Genomic DNA, 10,695 nt, shown 5'->3' with positions numbered 1-10,695 from the left:
GCTTACTATTATTTTCTCAATAACTGGCACTTATTAACTGAAAAAATTGATAATTAAAATAATAATAATTTGCCACTCTTGGGAGACTAAAGTTTACGTATGTGTTTAATGTTTTTCTTCTACTTGGCTACTCTAGTTACAGTCTACTCTCCCATGGTAGATGTGGAACATATTAGATGCTATTTATTAATTCAATGGAAAATGATTTTGCATTATTATTTTTGTATGTCAAGAATAGTTCTGGGTTCTGAGTTTAGAGGGGTAAACAAGACAGAAAAGATTCTTGCTGTTCCAGGATGTACATGCCATAGAAACAGAAAGTAAATCATAAAGACACATGCATGAGTATGTTCATTGCAGCACTATTCACAATAGCGTAGACATGGAAACAACCAGAATGCCCAATAATGACAGATTAAATAAAGAAAATGTGGTATATATACAATATGGAATACTATGCAGCCATCGAAAAGAACAAGATCATGTCCTTTGCATGAACATAGATGGAGCTGGAGGCCATTATCCTTAGCAAACGAACATGGGAACAGAAAAGCAAATACTGCATGTTGAGAGCACAAGGACACACAGAGGGGAATGATAGACATTGGGGGTTACTTGAGGGTGGAGGAATTAAAAATAGATGGGAGGATGGGAGGAGGGAGAGGATCAGGAAAAATAATGGGTACTAGGATTAATAACCAGGTGACAAAATAATCTGTACAACAAACTCCTATGACTCAAGTTTACCTATGTAACAAACCTGCACATGTACCCCTGAACTTAAAACAAAAGTTGAATAGGGAATAAAATAAAAAATAAAGAAATGAAAAAGATGATTTCAGATAGTATTGTATTCAATTAAATAAATGGCAGCATGATCATCTAGAGATTGGAGGTGTCTGGAAGGCCCAAGGAGGGACAGTTTTAGCTTCTCCCTGAGTGATTAAAAGGAGCCAGCAGGAAAACGGCAGTGGGGGAAGGAGATAGTCTGGGCAAAGACAAAAGCCCAGATATAGGGACAGGCTTGGGTTATTTGAGGACTGGAGAAAAGGCTAGGGAGTCTGGGAGTAAATGAGTGAGAGTGGGTTTAATAAGAAAAAGCTAAAGTGGGAGGCAGAAGTCTGATCATTTAGAGGGCATATAGGCCACATGCACTGGCCAGAGTTCTGGCAGGAAACCAAAGACATAATCAAATTGGGTAACCTGGAGAGTATTTTGATGTGGGCCGTGTTTTAGGAAAAGCAACAATTAGTGCAGTACCCCAGAGCTGGGGATGGGAAATGGGCAAGGGAAGGAGTCAGTTTCTGACCGTGGAGGGACGCAGCCAAACTGTAGTGAACCACCAGAAGGAAGCTGGGAAAAACCAGACCTTTATTTACTCCATGTTCTGGAACTCCCATAAGGTACCTCCCACTGGCCAAGCCAACCAGAAACAGGAATGCAGAGGAGCCCATTGATGCAGACCTGTGGGCCAGCCTACCGGGGTGTGGAGAAGAATCCAGCTCATTCTGCTGACAGGTTTGAAGTTTAATCCTAAGAATAATGGAAAGCCCAAAATCCCCATTGGGAAATTTTGACAACGGGAGTGGCATGAACTAGTGTGTGCTTTGAGTATCATGCTCTGGCTGCTGTGTGGAGACCTGAATGTATGAAACAGAAGTGGAAGCAGGCTGCCCTGTCAGGAGACCCTGCGGTGTCCGTCGCTGTCGCCTGTCCTCCACACATGGAATTCAGCCACTGTAGACTGGCTCGTGGCCCTCCCTGATATGGTAAAGTCAGCTGACCATTTGCTCAGGACCACACATGGGTGTTCCCTGCGGGGGTGTTGTTGGAAGTTCCCTAGTATGATATGGTGAGGGTGAGTGGATGTGAGTCTCACAGGTGTGCAGAGGTTTTCAGTTTGGTCTGAAATGGAGGCTGGGTTGACTAGCTAAGGATGGCTCTCTGATGTAAAGCCGCATCATGTGCTTGAGTGTTGCTATGTGAAGCAGGTTCTATGGTAATGACTGGCAGTGTTCTTTAGGAGGAGCATGGCTTGTATGGCTTCCTCTTGTGCTGTACGGAATATTTGCAAGGCCCAAATTGCATCTGAGAGAAACTTTCTAAGAAAGCTTCATAATAGGTTGGTCATCCTGGGAAGAAAGTATATATTTATGTCTATGTACATGTGTGTGTATATGTGTGTGTGTGTGTGTGTGTGTGTGTGTGTGTGTATTTATGGGGAGTGAGTAGGGAAAGGGAGGGAGAGGGGAAAAGGAAAATGAGAGGAAGTGAGAGGTTTTGACAACATTTTGATGGGCCCAGCTTGTCTTCTAAAATATCTTTCAGAAAATGATCTAAGATCCATTCTACCAAATTTAGGATAAAGGTGAAAGTCCTGAAACTGAAAGAACCCAAGACTTTCTCTTCTTTTTGTGTTTCTTGTGTTGAGCTTATCAGCCTGAGACGTTGAGATGCTGTATATACTTTCTGAGGCATCTATAGTTCTGACTCTGAGTGAGGGTCACACTAAAAGTCTGTAGAAAGAGTGTGGATGTTGAGTCAAAACCCGATTTATCTTTTGACTTCATCTCACATATAGGGCTATGTAACGTGATTGGAAGCTTGAAGCTGGAATAGTATATTCCTATTGTCTGTCAACTATACTTTTGATAGCATGGTAGGAACAGGAATGAATGATTTTAGTTTTCCAGTAATTATAAGATGTTTTTAAAACATAATTTTGCAGTTTGAAATTGCTAAGGAATAAATCAAATGTTACTGTTGGATAATATTTTAATACTCTTTTAAAAGTATATTGATCTAAATTGTTCAGAAATCATTGAATTATTAGTTAGTATTCAAGGGATGACTATCACATAATGAGATGGCTTTTAACAAACTCATTAAAACGCATTCAATTGACAAAAAATAAATTGAATGTGGACTATTTGTAAGGCAAGTGAGGAAAACTAAAATGTGTAAGACATAGTCTCTGCCCCCAAGGAGCTTATGTATTGCAATAATTTTTTCATTTCAGTATAATCAGTTGGGAAGCTATCATCTTTTTGCAATGAGATCACTCCTGCTAAACACATAGGAGCTTCTTTGGAATTGTCTTCAGATCTAGTTTAACACATTTGCATGTGTGCATGCACACACACATACACTCATGGTCAGTCTCAGTTTTTTAGGACAGGGGTCAGCAAAATTTGGTCTGTGGGTGAAATCCAGCCTACTGCCTGTTTGGCATGGCCCCAGAGCTAAGAATGATTTTTACATTTTTAGATGATTGAAAAAAAAACAACAACAGAGGAAGAGCAATATACAGGGATACATAAAAATTACGTGAAATTCAAATTTTAGTGTTAATAATGTTTATTGGGACATAGCAGTATTTACTCATTTATGTGTATGAGATAAATAGGTGGGACTTAATTAAACTATTAATTATTTTTTAATTAACTTCTTAATTTTTACTGTTCTCCCTTACCTTTGCCTTTGCTATTGAATTCCCAAATTAACTCAAACTGTATGAGTGGCGTTTAAGTGGCCACCACCTTCTGCCCCACCAGTTAGTTACTATCCAATTGTTCCTCCTCATGAGAGAATGAAGTCTGGGCGCGGTGGCTCACACCTGTAATCCCAGCACTTTGGGAGGCCAGGGTGGGCAGATCACCTGAGGTCAGGAGTTTGAGACCACCCTGGCCAACATGGTGAAACCCCATCTCTGCTAGAAATACAAAAATTAGCCGGGCGTTGTGGTGCACACCTGTAATCCCAGCTACTTGGGAGGCTGAGGCAGGAGAATCGCTTGAACCTGGGAGGCGGAGGCTGCAGTGAGCTGAGATTGTGCCACTGCACTCCAGCCTGGGTGACAGAGCAAGACTCTGTTTCAAAAAAAAAAAAAAAAAAAAAAGAAAAGAGAAAATTGCCAAGGTATGCTGTGTTAGTCAGGGTTCTCTACAGGGACACAATAGGATAGATGTATGTATAAAGGAAAGTTTATTAAGGAGAATTGACTCACACAGTTACAAGGTGAAGTTCCACAATAGGCCACCTGCAAACTGAGGAGCAAGGAAGCCAGTCCGAGTCCCAAAACCTCAAAAATAGGGAAGCTGACAGTGCAGCCTTTAGTCTGTGGTCAAAGGTCCAGAGTCCTAAAGCTAAAGGACTTGGAGTCCCATGTTTAAGGGAAGGAACCATCCAGCATGGGAGAAAGTTGTAGGCCAGAAGATAAAGCTGTCTAGTCTTTCCGCATTATTCTGCCTGCTTTTATTCTGGGTGCTCTGGCAGCTGATTAGATGGTGCCCACCCAGACTGAGGGTGGGTCTGCCTCTCCCAGTCCACTGACTCAAATGTTAATCTCCTTTGGCAACACCCTCACAGACACACCCAGGAAAAATACTTTGCGTCCTTCAATTGAATCAAGCTGACACTCAGTACTAACTATCACAAGTCCACCTCTTGTCAACTTCAACCCATACACATCTCCTGAAATCATACATAATCTTCAAATAAAGACAGTAAGGTCATAATTTTGCCTAATATAATACAGCTATCCTTCATACAACTGGAAGCCCACTAATCCTTAACCTAAATGCTATTACATAAAATTAACAACATGTACATGGTGATATAAAGTCAATAAATCTTATGTCACATGATAAAGGAAAAAGAAATAAAATGAAGATATTTTCATATTACAAGTATATACATGCACAAACATGTTCTTAACAAAATAAAGAGGAAATACTCATGACAATTACAGTCCTTGTTTCTGCAGCTGGTCATGTGGTCATAGCTGGTATTAATGACTACCTTCTTCTAATACGCATTCTGTATTCCCTTTGCCTTCAGCAAGCATCTCAGCAGGATGTGGTTTTTTACCTGATGGAGTGACCCAAACTTTCATCCTGAAGGTTTTGAGTCATTTGTAGTCCTGCCTGGATTGGGCTGATGTAGTTTCCCATTGACCTTAATCACAGGTTATGGTAATACTAAGAGATGCCCTAAGGGATCTCCTGTATTCCACACATACTCTTCCTTACCTCCTTTGTGGAGTAGTAGACTGATTTCATCTTGATAGTCCTGGTCAACCACCCTAGCCAACACTGTAACTCCCTTCTTAGCCTGTTGACTTAGAGGTGGGAGGAGCCCAAAGTGGCCAGGTGGCAATCTTAACTTCCAGTGTAATGGAACCATTGTTGTGTCTCCTGGTGGCAACATTCCTCCCTCTGGAGCTAAGACCTCTAGGCCAGCAGAACGTAATATTGTGGGAACAGGAAGCAAAATTTTGCCGGTGGGTCACTAGGGGTGATGGTGAGTGGTGCCACTTCCACTTCCACCCCTTGATTCCTTGACCCATGAATCCTGGCTATGGGAGAAACAGTACCAGATATTGGATGCTGATGCAGAGCATAAACGGCTTTCTGGAGAACTTTGCCCCAGGCCTGCAAAGTATTGTCACCTAGTTGGCATTGTAATTGTGACTTTAAAAGGCCATTCCACTGTTTTATCAATACAGCTGCTTCAGGATGATGGGGAACATGGTAAGACCAGTGAATTCCATGAGCATGAGCCCACTGCTGCACTTCTTTAGCTGTAAAGTAAGTGCCTTGGTCAGAGGCAATGCTGTGTGGAATACCATGACGGTGGATAAGGCATTCTGTGAGTCCATGAATGGTAGTCTTGGCAGAAGCACTGCGTGCAGGATATGGAAACCCATATCCAGAGTAAGCGTTTATTCTGGTGAGGACAAACTGCTGCCCTTTCTATGATGGATGAGGTCTAATATAATCAACCTGCCACCAAGTAGCTGGCTGATCACCCCGAAGAATGGTGCCATATCAATGGCTCAGTGTTGGTCTGTGCTGCTGCTGGCAAATTGGGTGCTCAGCACTGGCCGTAGCCAGGTCAGCCTTGGTGAGTGGAAGTCCACGTTGCTGAGCTCAGGCTTAATCTCCGTCCCTGCCATCATGGCCACTTTGTTCATGGACCCATTGGGCATTGGGTGATAACAGGGGTTGCTGGGGAAGAGGCTGAGTGGTGTCCACAGAACGAGTCATCCTATTCACTTGATTACTAAAATCCTCCTCTGCTGAGTTCACCCTTTGGTGAGCAATCACATGAGATACAAATATCTTCACAGTTTTTGACCACTCAGAGGGGTCCATCCACATACCTCTTCCCCAAATTTCTTTGTCACCAATTTTCCAGTCATGATTCTTCCAAGTCCCTGACCATCCAGCCAAACCATTGGCTACAGCCCGTTAATCAGTATATAATCGCACATCTGGCCATTTCACCTTCCAAGCAAAGTGCACAATCAGGTGCACTGTTTGAAGTTCTGCCCGCTGGGAAGAAGATTCCCCTTCTCTACTGTCCTTCAGGGATGTCCTAGAAAGGAGCTATAGTGCTGCAGCTGTCCACTTTCAGGTGGTGCCGGCATATCATGCAGAGCCATCTGTAAATCAGGCCCTAGTCTTCTCTTCCTCTGTCAACTGATCATAGGGAACTCCCCCTGAGGCTATTGGTGCAGGCTGAGGGCGAGAAGGCAGTATGGCAGGAGTGGAGACCATGGGCATTTGAGCCACTTCGTCATGTAACTTACTTGTGCCCTCAGGACCTGCTTGAGCCCAATCACGTATATAACACTTCCATTTGATAATGGAATGCTGCTGTGCACAACCCACTTTATGGCTAGATGGGTCAGAAAGCACCCAGTTCATGATAGGCAGTTCAGGTCACACAGTGACTTGATGACCCATAGTCAAACATTCAGTTTCTACCAAAGCCCAGTAACAGACCAAGAGCTGTCTCTCTAGAGGAGAGTAGTTATCTGCAGAAGGTGGCAGGGCCTTTATCCAAAATCCTAGAGATATCTGCTATGATTCACCTATGGTGGCCTACCAAAGGTTCCAAACAACATCCCTATTTGGCACTGACACCTCAAGTCCCATTGGATCTGCTGGATCATATGGCCCAAGTAGCAGAGCAGCTCACACAGCAGCCTGGACCTGCTGCAGAGCCTTCTTCTGTTCTGGACCCCAGTCAAAACTGGAAGCCTTTCAGGTCACTTGATAAATGGGCCAGAGTAACACACCTAAATGAGGAATGTGTTTTTTCCAAAATCCGAATAGGCCCACTAGGCGTTGGGCCCCTTTCTTGGTTGTAGGAGGGGCTAAATGCAGCAACTTATCCTTCACCTTAGAAGGAATATCTGGACAGGCCCCACACCACTGGACCCCTAGAAATTTTGCTGAGGTAGAAGCTCCCTGAAGTTTATTCGGATTTATTTTCCATCGTCTGGCAAGCAAATATTTCACCAGTAAGTCCAGTGTGTTTCCTACTTCTTGCTCACTGGGTCCAATCAGCGTAATGTCATCAATGTAATGGACCAGTGTGATATCTTGTGGAAGGGAAAAGTGATCAAGTTCTCTCCAAACAAGATTATGACACAAAGCCAGAGAGTTGATATACCCCTGAGGTAGGACAGCAAAGATATATTGCTGGCTTTGTCAGCTGAAGGCGAATTGCTTCTGGTGGGCCTTATGGACAGGCATGGAGAAAAAGTCATTTGCCAAATCAATGGCTGCATACCAGGTACCAGGAGATGTGTTAATTTGCTCAAGCAATGAAACCACATCTTGAACAATACTTTGCATCCTTCAGTCAAGTTGACACTCAATATTAATCATCACATACCCCCTTGTCCATACCTGTGTGTGTCTATAGGAACATTCCGGAACGCAGCGGCTTTGGTAAAGCCTGATCCCTGGGTCATAGCCCAGCTTAATGGCATGATGACTGCAGTTAATTAACCCATCCATTTAAGAGACAGAAGCAAGAAGCACATTTCTGAGCTCCAGACAGTTTTGAGCATCAGAATAGTTTTAGAGAAAGTAAGATATTTTGAAATTATACAGTGATCTCTATTAAAGTGATAACAGCTGGTACCAACTTCGCAAATCATGGAATTTTTTAAGAAAGATCAACCGCACACTTGTGAAACCCCGCCAGACTAATATCATCAGGGATTATAGGAGAAGCACTTACTACTGTCAAGTCAACACATAGCCTAGTTGACCTTTTATAAATGGATGAAAATAAGTTCAGCAAACCCCAGCAAGATATATTGAAAGATAGGCTGGAGGTGAATGGTAGGAGGTCTGAGCAATTTCACTAACCCAGCCAATCAGCAGTAATTGGTAAAGTGCCTTCTCCCCTGAGAGCCTGGGGAGATGTGTGGCTGCCGATTGGTGAGCTGGTGATTGCTTGGAGGGTTTTTATCGACTCTCTTTGCTGCTTTTTGGGTGTATTTCTCCCACGAGCTTTAACAATAATGCCCATGAATCTGAACCTCCTGACTGGTAAATGTTCTCTGGCCTTGACAATAAGTGTTTCAGCTTTGCTTCAATGTTTGTTTTCTGCCAGTGCTGTGGCCTGGATGCCCTGCAGTATCTATCTTGCAGCCTGAGGCCATTATTGGGCAGCACGTTGCCATTTTCTCCAGCATTATTTCTTTTAAATATTTCTCACTGAAAATGAGTCACTTTGAGATGATTACACCATAGTCATCTGTGGGATCCATAAGCAGTTTTGTCAGTGTGTGTCTAATTTTGGTCTCCCGTTCTTTGTCCTATGTAAGGCACATCTAGAGGGCCCATCTTTCTCTGGTATTTGGATACAATTCTTTAACCAGTGATTTTACTTTTTCCTCTGCTCACTCCCAGCCAAAAATCATCATTTACTTAGATCCCATGGTATGAAACATGTTTCACAATTGTGAACCTAAGCTTGGTACTTTAACTGAGCACACATCTCACAGAAATCCCGGAGTGGCCTCCCAGGAGACTGAAATCTAAGGGCAACAGGATCAAGCCCTCACAATGAAATGGGACGCAGGCTGGCCCATCTTTCTCTGTGGCTAAGTAATGAGGCTTGTTATTTACAGTGCCCTGTTTACTTGCTGACTCTGTTAGCGTTTTTCTTTTCAATTTGGATCTCGGCCCACATGGTAACCCTCTCACGAGGCACGTGCCATTTTGATTTTAAAATAATAGGAAGAATGCTCCAGCGCTGCTTGTTGGTGCTACGACTCTCAAACTGTCTATAGATTGCCAAGTAAGTGGAATGTTTTGACAGAGAGAAATATGTGTTGTCAACATTGCTTTATCCATGGTTGAGAAGAAAAATTGAAACGACTTCGGCAGGGTTCAGACGTTGATGACTGGAATGATCTCCTTGAAACAAATGACTACAGACCATTTTGTTTTCCTTTACGCCTCATTCTACTCTAATGAAATGCCCAATTAAAAGCATAGCTTATGTGCTTAAAAGAAAAAGCTTAGAAAGGATTCTTGGATGGAGCTGTGCCCGCAGTAATCCTTCACCACAGGAGAAAATCATAGTATCTTTGTAAAGAAACAATATCATGTTGTGACTTCCAGTGGCCTGCATGGCAGTTTTAGAGGAGACCCAAAATGAATGTAACCTTTTTAAGATAGAAAGGTTGTGTGTGTATTTCTGTGTGTGCCTGTGTGTGTGTGTGTGTGTGTGTGTGTGTGTGTGTCAGACAGACAGAGAGAAACATGATTTATTTGTGATATATCAAATGGCAGACACTGGTTGGAAATAGAAAAGAAAAAAGAGTTCCCAGTAGAGTGATACATTTAGGACAACTTGTGAATTTGTCTCTGGGATTAAGCGGAGTATGGAACTATGCAGCTGTGTGTTGTCTCCTAGCAAAATGAGGTTCCCTCTGTTTCTCTGGCAGGCAAGTTCCTATCGAAAGCTTATTGGGAGTGGGAACTCAGACAGCTTGCAGAGCCCTGCTGACCATTATCTTCACGTTCAGGTCTGCGTTGTGGGAGCTACTCTCTATTTTCTTGCTTAGTGAACACTCTTGACAAAAGAAAATGTTGACAGCTTTGCCTTTCTTGAGAATCACTAAGGAAACATTTCATCTTGTCAATCTCCTTTCATGTGCTGTGCAGGAGAAGAGAAAGGGAATATTGCTTTGGAGCATAGCCTTGACTTTCAACATGCATTTAACAATTAATATTTTCTTGAGCACCTACTATGTGCTAGAGTATTTGCTAGTCATTACCAGTCAGACAAAGATGAATGGAGCTAAGTCCCTATTCTTAGAGAGCTTAGCACATTCTCATTTTAAAATCAGTTGCCTCATTAGAAGGGCTATAAAAGGGATGCAGATAAAGTAATAAGGGAATTTGTATCATTTGGACTTCCTCACGTGACCCACTCCATGGCTTCTGGAACTAGGCAGATCTGAGTTTGAACATTATTACCCATGACATTGGCTGGCACAGTGTATTTTAAGCTATGTCTCCATTTCTGTCAGTTTTTAAATGAGGATAGTGACACCTACCTTGCAGGGCTGTTGGGATGAGTAAATGAGATACTGTGTGTACAGTGTAAAGCAGTGCTTGGCACAGGTGAGTCCACCTGGAATGGCAGCTTCCTTCCTACCTCCTTTATGCCACGCTGCATCCCCTGTCAGTCATACAGATGCCTCTCACAAACCTGCCTGCACCTTACAAGTGAACCACAAGCATTAAGATGGCTTCTTGAGGCTGGGTGTGGTGGCTTCCGCCTGTAATCCTAGCACTTTGGGAGGCCAAGGTGGGTGGATCACTCGAGCCTAGGAGTCCAAGAATAGCCTGGGCAATATGGCAAAATCTCAGCTCAACC

This window comes from Homo sapiens, chromosome 5, assembly GCF_000001405.40.
Source record: "Homo sapiens chromosome 5, GRCh38.p14 Primary Assembly".
NCBI lineage: Eukaryota > Metazoa > Chordata > Mammalia > Primates > Hominidae > Homo > Homo sapiens.
The sequence above is the reverse complement of the archived record's forward strand: the minus strand, read 5'-3'. Positions refer to the sequence as shown.